The 15,399-nt window shown below is 41.5% G+C and overlaps 1 protein-coding gene across 1 annotated transcript in view; it reads left to right on the forward strand.

Annotated features, from left to right (window-relative positions):
- Nucleotides 1-15,399, forward strand: part of DOCK5 (dedicator of cytokinesis 5) — a 231,023-nt gene that overhangs the window by 177,053 nt on the left and 38,571 nt on the right. The window contains exons 29-37 of the mRNA NM_024940.8: nt 1,306-1,400; nt 2,885-2,963; nt 5,129-5,229; nt 6,451-6,509; nt 6,830-6,984; nt 7,815-7,900; nt 10,818-10,977; nt 11,877-11,917; nt 12,823-12,913. Coding sequence (NP_079216.4) covers nt 1,306-1,400; nt 2,885-2,963; nt 5,129-5,229; nt 6,451-6,509; nt 6,830-6,984; nt 7,815-7,900; nt 10,818-10,977; nt 11,877-11,917; nt 12,823-12,913 — 867 coding nt within the window. The remainder of the gene's footprint in view (nt 1-1,305; nt 1,401-2,884; nt 2,964-5,128; nt 5,230-6,450; nt 6,510-6,829; nt 6,985-7,814; nt 7,901-10,817; nt 10,978-11,876; nt 11,918-12,822; nt 12,914-15,399) is intronic.

The raw sequence follows: 15,399 nt of genomic DNA on the forward strand, positions 1-15,399 counted from the left end.
GTTGCACACACACACTGGCCGGCCAGGGAGAGTCATTCCCCATGCCGTTCAGCATCCAAAGTATAGGAAGTTACCCAGCTTGACCAGCATCTCAGAAAAATATGGTTAGCAATAGGACCTGGGCCTCCTGTCTCTCACATACTGTGTCCAGGCAGAACTGTGTAGGTTAGTGCCAGAGAAACTGGACAGGACTTTCAAGAATCCCAGTGGAAAAGGTCTAAATTTAGCTAACTAATAAAAATGCCTTCAAAACATTTTAGCTTTGATTTCAACTCTGATTGTTCTATTTCTGAATTAGTTTTTGCTCACAGCCCCCTTTGGAGCAGAAGAGCTCTGTATGCTTAAGTGATTAGTTATTAGTCATCACCAGCCACTGTTACGATCCATTTTGAAGGACCGTTTAGGACCTTTCTTCCAGGCTGCACATGATAACGTCCCTGGCGCAGGAAGAGTGGTGATTCTGCTTCTTGTGTGTATCACTGTGTCCTTTTCTAACCATAATAAAGGAGAATTGAACTGAAATCTATTAAAAGTATCCATTTCCCCACAATTGTTGGTGAATTATGTTTAAGTGCATGAGATACATTCTGACAACCTGTGGCAGCAGAGGAAGAAAGAGATAAGGGTTGCAAACTTGGGGTCCAAAGCTCCAAGTTCTCATCCAGCTCTTCTCCTTCCCACTTTCTTTTTTTCCTTTTTTCTTTTCTTTTCTTTTCTTTTCTTTTTTTTTTTTTTTTTTTTTTGAGATAGAGTCTCACTCTGCTGCCCAGGCTGGAGTGCAATGGCACAATCTTGGCTCACTGCAACCTCTGCCTCCTGGGTTCAAGCGATTCCCCTGCCTCAGCCTCCCGAGTAGCTGGGACTACAGGCATACACCACCATGCCCGGCAAATTTTTGTATTTTTAGTAGAGATGGGATTTCACTATGTTGGCCAAGCTGCCCACCTCGGCCTCCCAAAGTGCTGAGATTACAGGTGTAAGCCACTACACCCAACCCTCCTTCCTACTTTCTATGCCCTTAAGTGAGTCCTTTAGTTTTTCTCAGCCTCAGTTGTACCATTTGTAAAATGTGGATGATTCTTTTTGTCCTCATCTTCCTTATAGGGTCCTACAATATAAAAATCAAATTGCATCACAGCCAGCTGTAAGAATGCTTTGTTATTCCTAAAACCCTTGAAAGATGGGCTGTTACTGTGGGGCTAGGAACATCCTGTTCTGAGGTTGTGGTTCTGCTTGTATACACGCCAGAATAAAGACTATGAACGTAACCCAGTTTTCCCCCAACCACTCCTCTGTTCTCCGCAGGACTTCCTCATGGAAACTTTTATCATGTTCAAGGACCTGATTGGAAAGAATGTCTATGCCAAAGATTGGATGGTGATGAATATGACTCAAAACAGGTGAGACAGCCCATGGCTGGCCCTGAGGCATTTGTCTGAATACCTAAGGCTGCTGTGTGAACTTTGGGAAATGTCTTTAAATCCCTTTGCCTCAAACCCATCATCTGTAAAGTGAGGATCTTCCTGCTCCAGAGGTCCTAATTTATGTGCTCGTGATCTTGATTTTCCCAGGGTAATTGCCTTTGCTCCACCTCGGGCTCTCTACTCCCTTCTCTAGCGTCGTCTCTTCAGTGCTCTCATGGTAATTGTCATCCTCAACTCTCCACTGCACCTTTCCGTGGCTCCACGTGGCCTGTGTCATCCTGATATTCAGGGCTCACCAGTTAGTGTCTGTTCTATGACCGGTCCATGATGTATTTAACCAGATTCTTCTTATGAACATTTAGATTCTTTCCATTTTCTATTAATGTGAAATAGCACTGTCATGGCCTTCCTTGCTTTACATATTTAAAAATATCCATGGTTATTTTATCAGGATATACTCCTAAAATAATTTAGTAGTTCAAAAGTTTGGTGAAATTATAGGGCTTTTGATACACAGTGCCAAACTAACTAGTTGCTTCTGCTACTTCCCTGTGTATGCTACCTGTACTCCAACCAAACTGGCCTCTGCCCAGTCCCTGAACACATGGTCTGCTCTGCCTCACACCGGTCTTCCGCTAGCAGTGCCTTCCCCATAACCTCTGGCTGTCAGCATTCCAGCTATTCCATAAGGTTCTTCTGAAGCGTCACCTCCAGAGGAAGCCTTTCTGACCTGGATGTCATCTCTTCTTCCTTCGATTTTCCATACCCCATTCAAACCTTCTTATAGAATTGTTTTCAGATTCTATGTTGGGTAATAGATGTACATGTTGTTAATTTCCCCAACCAAGCTGTAAATTTCTTAAGATCAGAAACTGTGTCTTTCAACACAGACGTGAGCCTGTGCCTTGCAATTGCTAGCCCACAACAAATACTTGTTGAACAGAAGTGAAATGAACTGAATATATATTATATTAAAAGAGTGTTAGAGTTTAATGAGATAAATAAACCATTATTGTAAGCATTATTATTAACTCTACATGATACCCAATTCTGAGTAATTCTACTCTAACACCTGATTAGAAGAAGCCTTCTCTGCTATGTACAGATTAGATTTAAAAAATTACACCAGAAACCCTAAGCTTAAACAGAAGGATCATAATAGAGTCTATATATATTACCCTCCTCTGAGGCTTAAGAGTCCTGGTTTGCAGTCTCAGATCTACCTTCAATTACCTAAATTGGGATGTGGCCCTGAGTGGCTCTTCTTGTTTGTTCTGTAAACTGACCTCCTGTGCCCCATCTGCGGATGGTGTTATGCTGTTGTCTGCAAGGACACTGTTAGATTATGAGGTCTTATGATGCCAAGTTCAGGTTTGGTTTGGTTTAGTTCTTAATATAGGTGGGAAAAGGTTTCAAAGGACATACAGTTGGCTTCTTTATCTGGTGTTTTCCTTCCGCAGGGTTTTTCTCCGTGCTATAAATCAGTTTGCTGAAGTTCTCACAAGATTCTTCATGGATCAGGCAAGCTTTGAACTTCAGGTAGGCATGTGACTCACCTACCTGCTTCTAGAATTCTTGGCCATGGCAAGAGAACTATATGAATTTGGAAAATGTCTCCTCAGATTTCACTGTTTTCACATGAAAAAGGTTTTCCTGTGTTTTTTCATTTCCTAAAGCACATATGCCTGTCACACTGTCCTCCAAACACAACAAAATAGGGGTGGTTTCTTCTTTCTATAAAGGTAACATATGTAAAAAAAAAATCTTAAAGAGTAATAGTAGAAGATCAAAAATATAAATAGTCCTCCTTGTCGCTATAAACATTTGGAGTTGACCCTTTGTATATTTACACAAATGCACATAGACACACATGGCTACAAATAAGCACACAGGTAACTCTCCTACCGACAAATGAGTTTGGTTCTAAAGAACAGTTCTTATGCACAGTTTGTTGAAAGTCCAAAGGAATTGCAAAACGGATGACCGCTAGCTCTATTTTCATTCATTCATTCATTTACTTATCCATTCATCCATTTAACAAATGTTAGAGTACTTACATGTACAGGGCCCTGTTTTGCGCCCTGGTAGGGGCATTTCCCTGGTGAAGGCAGATAAGTTCCTTGCTGTCATGGAGCTTACCTTCCAGAGTACTCTGCATTTTGTGGGTGATGTGCTTTCTGTGTTCTTTGTCTTTGCGTGTATCTGTGGAACTGTTATCAGTGGAGGTCCTTGACTACAGATTGTCCAAGTTCTTGACGTTTTGAACAAAATGCACAAACAAAGCAATGAAAGAATGAAGCAATAAAAGCCAGATTTATTGAAATGAAAGTATACTCCACAGAGTGGGAGCAGGCTCAAGCAAGTAGCTCAAGAGCACTGGTTACAGAATTTTCTGGCGTTTAAATACCCTGTAGAAGTTTTCCCATTGGTTACTTGGTTACACCCTATGTAAATGAAGGAGTAGCATGTGACCAGTCTGACCCTCCCACCAATTGTGGGAGGGGACTAATCAGAGGTACTTTCAATTTTTCATCTGCCACAGAGTGCAAAGGGGTAGCCTCTGATCCTTTTGTTACTTGGGTGTGGAGAGGTGGGGTTTTCCTTTTGATTCAGTTCTAGGAAGTCAGTGTGAATTGGCCTTCAGTGCCCTGCCTCCAGGCCCTGTTTTCCTGCCTCAGAACTTTAAAAGTTGAAAATCATAAGTAGAGGAAAGTATACACACATACACACACAGAGATGCATGCACATATAGATGAATATATATTGTATGTATGTGTATGTATATTTGCCAAAATGGAATTGAGCTGTGCAGTTCTTTGGTACTCTGTTAATCTGTTTTCCTTTTTCAATGATCTGTGATCTTTTCAATAATGTTGAATATTTTCCTGTTTTTAATGGCTGAATATCATCTGTTCTATGACTGGTCCATGATGTATTTAACCAAATTCTTCTTACGAACATTTAGATTGTTTCCATTTTCTATTATATTAAATAACACTGTGATGGACTTCCTTCCTTTAAATATTTAAAAATATTCGTGCTTGGCTGGGCACGGTGGCTCACGCCTATAGTCTCAGCACTTTGGGAGGCCAAGGCGGGCAGATCACCTGAGGTCAGGAGTTTAAGACCAGCCTGGCCAACATGGCGAAACTCCATCTCTACTAAAAATGCAAAAACTAGCTAGGCCTGGTAGTGGGTGCCTGTAATCCCAGATACTCGTCAGGATAAGGCAGGACGCTTGAACCTGGGAGGCGGAGGTTGCAGTGAGCCGAGATTGTACCACTGTACTCCAGCCTGGGCAACAGAGTGAGACTCTGGATCAAACAACAACAACAAAATTCATGGTTATTTCATCAGGATAAAGTCCTAAAAGTGTTTACTAATTCAAAAGTTTGGCAAACTTTTAGGACTTTTGAAACATAGTGCCAAAGTACATACTATAAATAGATACACTTCTTGGCAGCAGTTTTCCTTTATCCCAGGAGTAAAGAAAAATATAATAGCTTAAATTTTTTTAAAAAGCTTAACATTAAGTCTCAAAACTTTTAGGATTGAATAATCAAAACCTAAGAAGAATGTAGATTGTATTTTGTTCTTTCATTAATCTCTTGTTAATGACTTTTTACCATGTGACATTGTTTTATTATGGCCCTTATTAATGTTATTTTTCATTTCCCTTTACCCACACAATTAATTTTGAACAGCTCTGGAACAATTACTTCCATTTGGCAGTTGCATTTCTCACCCATGAGTCCCTTCAGCTTGAAACCTTCTCACAAGCCAAGCGCAACAAAATTGTTAAAAAGTAAGTGTCCTTTTAAAGTTAAGATCGGGAAGGGGCTTCTTCCATTTGTTTACATTGAGAGCAATATTTTAGGTATCACAGAAATTACTATTTAGTGGCTACCCATGTTGTTAGTGAGGTAAGTCTTCAACTAATTACTTAATAGGCCTCACATTCACCCAGGTTCAGCTCTCTTTTCTTAAGGCCCAACCATCTTCCCATCAGTCATCCCATGCTTTTTATCAAATCTGTACCTGGAGACGGACCTTGGCTGTCAGCTTGCCCATCCCCAAGAACAGCTGCGCCTCTGCTGGCAGCTTCCCCAAATTGCAGGCATAGTACCTCCTCATTCATAGCGCTTCACAAAGCACACTCCTTCAGCACAGTTGCTCCACCTCCCTGCCATTTCAGCAGAGAAAGCCAGGTCTCAGACATTGCATTAAAATGCCCTCCAGATTCCTGGTTTGGAATTCAAAATGGAATTATGTGCAGAAGTGATAAGAGATTTAGGGAAGCATTTCATTTCATTGAGAGACTGGAATCCAAAGACCATGTCGTTAAAAAATAACTTGAGGAATGTATTATTTGAAGACTTTGAAATTTTAGTTGTGTTCCCCTTGTTGGGATATCTGCGATATGTAGGAAAATTATTTAGTGTCCCTCTACTTCTGGTTCCTCCCTCAAAAACTGCCTACATATACAAAAACAGCAAAGTATTTTTTGCTCCCAAGGACCAATATTTATCCCTTTGTGGACAGTATCACTCCCATTGAGAGTGCATGGTGTAGAGCCTTCCAATGTGAATATTTTGAAAAACACGCTAGAATGGATGTATATTACCCCAATATCAGTCTATAAAGTATATAAGTATTTAGTCACCTGTTAGGCATTAGTCACAGTACTGTATGATCATACTTCATTCACCTTCCTTTTCATCAGTGTTTGCCGTGTTTTGTTTGGCTTTGTCTGTGCCTCACTCTTCTCCCTGAAGTGAGTTTGTTAATCTCATCTTCTCAGCTATTTTTCAGCGTTTCCATTTGGCTTTATTGCGGCACAAGGTCCCCCGGCCTCTGTGCGCCTCATTCCTTTTGGGGGCTCGTTTAGGTATGAACCTCATCTCTTAAGGTTGGGCCTTAAGAGTGACCAAGAGAGACACAGACTGTTTTTACTTTCCTTCTTATTGTGTTTATGCAATTCATTTCTACTGAAAATCCTCCTTCTAGTTTATGATCTTCTTCCTAGATATGGGGACATGAGAAAGGAAATCGGCTTTAGAATCCGGGACATGTGGTATAACCTGGGTGAGTGTCTAGCCTTGAACAGGCCTGATCACAACCTCTGAGTGATAAGCATCCCACGATAAAGTCTTTTTTTTATTTTAATCCAGATAACCCTGAGATGTATTTGTCTGTGTGTCTGGAAGTGAAAGTTGATTTGTGGGTTTCATTGACAATGAACTGTCTCTTACTCTGGCATCCACATGCTATCAGAATCTGAGTCACTCACTTCTGAATTGAGTTGTTTTAACCTTTTCTTTTCTTATGGAACTTGTGGAGGAAGATTTTAACACTTTACTTTCAGTGAAATAATTTTTTAATATCTTCATTCACTTTCATTTCAGGTCCCCACAAAATCAAATTCATCCCATCCATGGTGGGTCCCATTCTGGAGGTCACTCTGACCCCTGAAGTAGAGCTCCGGAAAGCCACAATCCCCATTTTCTTTGATATGATGCAGTGTGAGTTCAATTTCAGTGGAAATGGCAATTTCCATATGGTAAGAAGTGGCAGACCGCGTAATATTAGTAAATGGACATATAGTCAAATCATAACTCATTTCTTTCTATATAGAGAAGCAGTAACCTTAATAATGCAAGTCCATGTTGATCTGAAAGTTCACTTTACATTTCATTTTATAAAGCAATTAGAGATAGAGTCAGACAGTGCAACCCAGAGCCTGGAAAAGATTTTTTTGCTACATGTCTTTCCTAAGGCAACACCTGTCTGTAGAAAATTAAAGGAAGTTAACTTCATGCATTTTAATCCTAGCTGTTTCAGTATAGCCTAGAGAATAATGTAGTGAATTGAATTTAAAAACCTATCTATTATAGTACGGCTGAAAGCAGTGCAATGGATTAAGTTCTAATCCATTACTCTGTAGCTTTGAGAATGTCATTTTCCTGGTATGTCTTCTCTGTGCCTCTGTTTTCTTATCTACAAAGTGTATTAATATTGAAAGGACGATTTCGCATCTATGAACCTCTGCAAAAGCAATCTCACTGCAGAGACTTAGACATGAAACTGAAGTAAAATAGAAAAACAAGAATTATTATTCTATTTTTATATGAATAGTTGTAACAGAAAGCAATGTTTTGGATAATATGTTTTTAATCAAATGTAATGCAAAGGACAAAGTAACATGAGACTTTGTTAGAAGATTTTGATAGGGCCTTGGTGCACAGTTTATGAGTGACCCTCTGTGATCCTCCCTGTCTGTGCTGGAAACAGTTCACAACTCAGCGAATGGGTTGGCCAAGTCTAGAAAGTTGGCCATGTCTTCTTCTAAGGATGCAACATTATCCTGTGAAATTCTGCCTCTACTTTCAGTTTGAGAATGAGCTGATCACAAAGCTGGACCAGGAGGTAGAAGGGGGCAGAGGAGACGAACAATACAAGGTTCTTCTGGAAAAACTGTGAGTATTTCAGGAACGAAACCTGAAGTCAGTGGTGTCATTTAGTAATAGAGAAAAACAGGGGTCCTGTTTCACCAATAGAGCAATTGAGTAGTCTCAGAGTCACTAGGGCCACCCCCACTGTGGTCTTCAGTATGGTTATGGGGTGTATACTGTCCACAGCTGACATTGTTTATCTCGTGGGAGTCAAATGCTGGTATTTTCCTGGCCAGCCTGGCCCTAGAGAACACAGCAGATGGAGGCAAGGAGGAGGTGCAGAGTGGTGGCATTTTGCCCAGTGTTTGAATTTTTGAACTTCAACAAAAGTATTAGCACTTCTAATTATAACTGCAAAGTAACAATTTAAAGGAAAAAATATTTCAAGGTCTGCTGTGTATGTAAAAAATACCTTAGGACCCATAAAGGACATATAACCAAAGCAGTTCTGTCTCCAGCCAGGTTGGTCTTTTTCCTGCCCTGTCATCCACCCCATCCAACACATCTGTACCTCTGTCTGGGCTCCCATTATCACCACTGTCCCCTCTTCCCCCACCACCACACTCACCTATAACCCTCTTGCCCTCCTTGGCACATGTGGAGTAATGAAGAGTGGGAAAGTGATTAAAAACACATAGGTGTTGGCCTCAGTGAGAGATTGAACTTCAAACCCTGTTTTCGCCACATATTAAGAGTTTGGCTTTAGTCCAGTGATTCTGCTTATCCAACACTTCATTTTTTTTCCCTCTCCAAGAATAACATCTATTTTTTGATATCATCATGAGAATTACAGGAGATGATGTGCTAACATAGCATCTGTTGCAGAGTTCATGACTAATAAATATTGGCTGCTCTGGTGTTCATGGTTGTTATTATTACAATTTGTTTTTGGTGTTTGTTTTTAAGAGATAGGGTCTCTCTCTGTTGCCCAGGCTGGAGTGCAGTGGTGCAATGATAGCTCACTAAAGCCTTGAACTCCTGGGCTCAAGCAGTCCTCCCGCCTCAGACTCCCAAGTACTAGGACTACAGGCATATGTCGCCATTCCCAGCTGTTTCTTATTTTTACTTGTGTAGAAATGGGGTCTTGCCGTGTTGCCAAGGCTGGTCTCGAAATTTTGCTTTAAGTGATCCTCCCACTTCAGCCTCCCTAGTAGCTAGGACTGTAGGCGTGCACCACCATGCCCAGCTGGTTTTCATTTTTATTTTTGTAGAGACAGGGTCTTGCTATGTTGCCCAGGCTGGTCTGAAACTCTTGGCCTCAGGCAATCCTCCAGCCTCGGCTTCCTAATGGGCTGGGATTTACAGGCATGAGCCACCACGTCTGGCCTAGTATTATTATTATTATTATTTACAGGCCTACCCTTCATTCAGGTTGTAACTACTCTAGACCATTGCTTTCTCATGTTCCCTGAACTTTTCTAGTGTTGACCAACTGCATCTCCAGCTGGGTGCTTGCCTCAGTCACTTAGTTGTTCACCTGTTCGCCTGTTGTGTGTGAGTTTTGTGGATGAGAGTCTGTGTTTGAGGACAGTGCTCCCAACTGTATTCTTTTTTGAAGATTCTCTAAGGAACCAGCACTCTGAATACCGAGAAATGGAATTGAATTGTATTTTCAGTAGAGATGGGGTTTCACGATGTTGGCCAGGGTGGTCTCCATCTCTTGACCTCGTGATCCACCTGCCTCGGCCTCCCAAAGTGAGCCAAGTGAGCCACCGTGATGGATGCCTGTAGTCCCAGCTACTTGGGAGGCTGAAGCAGGAGAATCACTTGAACCTGGGAGGCGGAGATTGCAGTGAACTGAGATTGCACCACTGCACTCCAGCCTGGCTACAGAGCAAGACTCCGTCTCAAAAAAATAAAAATAAAAAAAATAATTGAATTGATGAATAGTCTGTATTTTAAAGGACTAGAAGCCTTTCTTGTTTTGTTTTTAATAGTGACAAGACCTTTTATTGGTCTTTTTTATCCTGTTTCCATTAAGTCTCTCCATTTGAGCTTCAAACCTCCCAGTTTATATCTTTTGCAATTCTGATCTTATATGGAATTAAATGAAGTTATGCACATATACACACAATATTTATACATGATATGCTACTTTTTTAAATCCTACAGCTGATTTGTTTTACATAAGGATCTTACTTTGTTTTCTTCATTCTTCCTAGATCACTAACTTAGAAAAAATACGGATACATAGGTCTCCAGTGCCCAAGAATAACCCTAAATCTGGATTAATGTGTTGGACCCATTTCTTTCTCTTTCCCTCTCCCTCTTTTCCCAGGTTTTCTTTTAATTATCTAATAAGCCCCAGAACTTGGCTCTGTGTGGGTCCAAAGGGACAGGATTTAGACTGAAAGTTTAGCCTCAGTTTGCTTCTTTATAACTCTGCATTTTTTTCTGAAGCTAACACTTTTATCTAAAGAGCCGCATTGCAGGAGATGTACTAGGTTCCCAGGTTCCTCTAGGCTGGGCATCCATACGAGGCATTCCAGAATGTTCAGAGGATGCCCTGAGTGCCAGGCCTTAGGGAGAATAAAGACATAGGAAAAATGGTCTCATACAACTAATTAGAGTCCTCACAGAGCACACACGAACCTTTTGAGCAAGGGTTTGTTGACTGAATAAAACACAAACAAAAACAGACATTGAAAGAAGGACATTGTGTGCTCAGATTCTAAGTGATGTTGGGACTTGAGCTGAGTCCTAAAGAAAACTGGAACTCGAGTCCACAAAGAAGCGCAGCATAAGTGAAGGTCACAGGATAGGAAGGTGTTGCATGAGGTGTGTGTGTGTCGGCTTAACTGTGTCACTTAATATCTAACATTGACGTTCTGTGTCATCAAATCCTGCCCCAGCCACTGCTGAGACCCTGGTCAGTGCTGGTCAGTGCTGCTGGAATGATAGCATGGAACCTGGGCTTTTGTCTCTCCCTCCGCCCCTCCAGGCTCCTAGAACATTGCCGGAAACACAAATACCTCTCCAGCTCTGGGGAGGTCTTCGCCCTCCTGGTCAGCAGCCTCTTAGAGAACCTGCTGGACTATAGAACCATCATCATGCAAGATGAGAGCAAGGAGAACCGTATGAGCTGCACTGTGAACGTGCTGGTATGTGACATGCCTCCGGTGTGATGGGAGGGTACTGTCAGGCCGCCCCTGCACCCTACAGCTCAGCTCTAGGTAGATCCCACAAACACAGAGGCGCCCTGAGGCACCTTTGTGGAGCCGGTGTCTTCCTAAGTCTAATTGGAATGGCTGGCTCAGCTCACAGGTATCAGCAGCCACAGACCCTGAGGATAAATTTGGTGTGTTTTTGATTGTTTGTTTTAATTTTTATTTCAGTAGGTTTGGGGGTACAGTGGTTTCTGGTTACATGGATAAGTTTTGGGGATTTTTTTTTTTTTTTTTGAGACGGAGTCTCGTTCTGTTGCCGGGCTGGAGTGCAGTGGTGCGATCTCAGCTCACCGCAACCTCCGCCTCCTGGGATCAAGCAATTTTCCTGCCTCAGCCTCCCAAGTAGCTGGGATTACAGGCACGCGCCACCATGCCCAGCTAATTTTTGTATTTTTAGTAGAAACAGAGTTTCACCATGTTGGCCAGGATGGTCTCGATCTCCTGACCTCATGATCCACACGCCTCAGCCTCCCAAAGTGCTGGGATTACAGGCGTGAGCCACCGCACCCGGCTGGATAGGTTATTTCTTTAGTGGTGATTTTTGAGATTTTAGAGCACCCGTCACCCGAGCACTGTACCCAAAATGTAGTCTTTTATCCCTCACCCTCCTATAACCTTCCCCACTGAGTTCCCAAAGTCCATTATATCACTCTTGTGCTTTTGCATCCTGAGGATAAATATCCCCTTTTCTTATGGGGATATTTGTTAAAGGGAAACAGTGATCTCTTTGGAAAAGTGAAACTTTTGAAAAGCAACAATAGTGGTTTGTCTATTTTTGTGTCAATAGCTCTTGATTTATGTTGGGATTCTGTGATCCTTTTTTTTCCTGGCAGAACTTTTATAAAGAAAAGAAGAGAGAGGACATATACATAAGGTAAGCTGAAGGAAATTTCTTGCTTCTGCTGTTTATTTCATGGCTTTGTGATTGATTTCTTCAGTAAACAAATACTTTCCCAACACCGTGTTTGCTGCTTTGAGAGACCCCTAAAAGTACATGATACGCTCCATTCACCCTGAACCGACAAACTCTTTAGACAGATACATGAATAAGTACGACAGGAAGGAGTGCCTATGTGAGGTCATGTCAGGGATCAGGGGAAGGATAGACAACTTCTGGCCTGGGTGGGCAGGAGAGGCTGTACAGGAAGAGGCAGGAAAACCCACCCAAGAGTCTTAGCTTGAAGTCTGCGAATCCCTGAACATGAAACAAACTTGTACGTAACCAACGTGCATGTTGTTGGGGAGAGATTCCATAGCTTTCATTAGCTTCCCAGAGGGGTCCAAGACCTAATATTTAAAAACATTAAACACCACTGCCTTAAAGAAAGAAGAGAAACTAGTCTAGGTGGAGTCAGAGAAACACGGAGGCAGGAGGTGCACAGTGTATTGAAGAAATGGGGAAGATCCGACTTCTTGGCTCAAGAGGAAGGAATTGCTTCTGTACAGTAGTGGGGAGGGGGGTCAGGCAGGGAAGCAGGCTGGGGTCTGGTTATGGAATGAGCTGAACACTAAATCAACTCTCGAGCCTGGGCAGCATGGTGAAACCCTGTCTCTACAAAAGATACGAAAATTAGCCGGGCCTGGTGGCACGTGCCAGCTACTTAGGAGGCTAAGGTGGGTGGATCACTTGAGCCCTGGGGCTTAAGGCTGCAGTGAGCCATGATCGGACCACTGCATACTGCAGCCTGGGCAATACAGCAAGACCCTGTCTCAAAACAGAACTAAAAAACCTATAAAACTCTCGAGTGACAAAATGCTTCCTTCTCCCCTTCTTGCCAGATATCTGTACAAGCTTCGAGATTTGCACCGAGACTGTGAGAACTACACAGAAGCTGCCTACACGCTTCTCTTGCACGCTGAGCTTCTGCAGGTGAATGGCTCAGAGAGCTTGTTTCAACAGGGTGGAGTACAGTGTCCTTTCAGACTAAATTCTATACATTTCATGATTTTGATGGGAAAGAACTTTATTCCAGGAATATCCTTTTATACAAGTTTTTTTAGTTCTTTCTAAATAGGCACAGCTAATTTGTAGATCAAGTATGGGAAAATGTCAGTTATCTTTTATTTAAAAATCCTTAGAAAGCAGAGCACGACTTATGAACCTTTGGTAATTGACACTCTAATTAAAGCAATAAAACACACATTGATGAATACATAAAAAAATTTGTAAAACTGCAGAAAACTGCAGAAAGATGAGTTATAAGTGAATATAGTACCATAGAAGTACTCTATTTTTATTCTCTCCCTAAATAAATGTATGTTGTGGTTTAGATATAAATACATCTATATGTTATGAATCCCAAGTAATTATTTCTAGCCCTGAGCACCTTCTCTAACTTTGGATTTACATATAAACTTTGATTGGCCAATATGCAGCTCAAACTGAACAAGGCGGTAACAGGAACCTTTATTTCTCACTCTTTGCTCCTCCCCAGCCCATCCTACCTCACTTTGTTACCATGTTACTAATAACATTCCCATCCATTTAGTTGCTCAGGCAACCTCATAGTCATCTTCAATTTCTCTCTTTTACTCACCACCTCCCACATTCTCCACAAGCGAGAGATGTGGCCCCTCTGTTCAGAACATGCCCCTAACTTATCCGCTTTTCTTTTTCTTTCTTTATTTTTTTTTTTAAAGAGATGAGATCTTGCTATGTTTCCCAGGCTGGTCTCAAACTCCTGGGCTCAAGCAATCCTCCCACTTCAGCCTCCCAGAGTACTAGGATTACAGGCATGAGCCACCATGCTAGCCAATCCACTTTTCTTTATCTCCCTGACTACCACCTTGGTCCATCCCGTAAGCATGTCACACCTTGAGCACTACAGCAGCCTCCTGTTTGGTGTCTCTGCCTCCAGTTTTGTTCTCAGCTATTAATATTCTTTTACAGTTTATATTTTATACTAAAGTAATATATGGGCATTGTCCGAACATATGAGTTAAAAATAGGATTCCTATGCCTCACCACTTCCCAAAGGAAATTCACAATTCATATTTAAGTTTAGGGCATTAAAAAGCTTATTGTATAATGGACTGGGCCTGGTGGCTCACGCCTGTAATCCCAGCTCTTTGGGAAGCTGAGGCCAGCAGATCACTTGGGGTCAGGAGTTCAAGACCAGCCTGGCTAACATGGTGAAACCCCATCTCTACTAAAAATACAAAAAATTAGCAGGCGTGGTGGCACCTGCCTGTAGTCCCAGCTACTCAGGAGGCTGAGGCAGGAGAATCATTTGAACCTGCAAGGCGGAGGTTTGCAGTATGCTGAGATGGTGCCACCATACTCCAGCCTGGGTGATAGAGCAAGACTGTGTCTCAAAAGAAAAAAAAAAAAAAAAAGCAACCTACTGTATATAGCTTAGAAAGTGAGGCTTGTTGACTGTGGATTTCGCCATTGTATGATCAGAAAGAAATCCCCAGTGTCTGTAACTGTAGGTCTTTTCATTTGGGAAACTCAGGAAGGTAAACTCTCCTATCCTGGTGTAAGATATGAGGTATGAATGCAGCTTTTTTTCCCCCCAGATTGCTATTCAATAGAGATGCTGTTTGTTAAGTATAGTTCACATTTTGCTTATTGGTATAAGATCCCATCTTTATTACTAAATTCTTATTTTGGGGGGAGGGAATCTCTTTCTAGATTGTATATGCTTTTACGTGGGTCTCTGTCTGTTCATGTACCAGTACCATACTGTATTAATTATTAATTCTTGATAGTGTGTTTTATGACCTGGTAGTTACTCTTGATTGCTCTTCTTTTTCAGAGTTTTCCTACCTATTCCTTTTTGTTAATTTTTCCATATGGACTTTGGAAAGATGAAATTTAAAAATTAATTTAGTGAGAATTTACATGTTAATGAAATAGAATTTTCTTATCCAAAAGCATGGTATGACTTTCCATTTGTTCGAGTCTGCTTTTGTGCCCTTCAATGGCGTGTGAAAGTTTTCTGCATATAAGTCTTGCATATTCCTTGTAATGTTCACTCTTAGAAATGTTCTTTTTGGACTTATTTTTGTTTGGTTCCATTCTTCTATTCTGTATATTTAGTCTCCGTGTATCTGAAATAAATTTTATTTCAAGTATATTAATTGTTCTTCCTGCTGCGTAACTTAATTCTCTTATTGTGTGTCGCAGTTTCTTAGTCAACTGCCTTGCATTGTGAGGAATACAACCATAATGTTTGCAAATTGTGGTAGTTTTACCTCTTCCTATTCATTTTTATACTCCTAATTTGTTCCTTTTATCTGACTGTGTTACTGATGCCCCAGTACAACGACAGTCATGTCAGTTAGCGACCTTGCTTTGTCGCTGGCATTTTGGGGGGATGCTGTGAGTGCTCCTTCATTTGGCATGATACTCTT

The sequence above is a fragment of the Homo sapiens genome, chromosome 8, assembly GCF_000001405.40.
Source record: "Homo sapiens chromosome 8, GRCh38.p14 Primary Assembly".
NCBI lineage: Eukaryota > Metazoa > Chordata > Mammalia > Primates > Hominidae > Homo > Homo sapiens.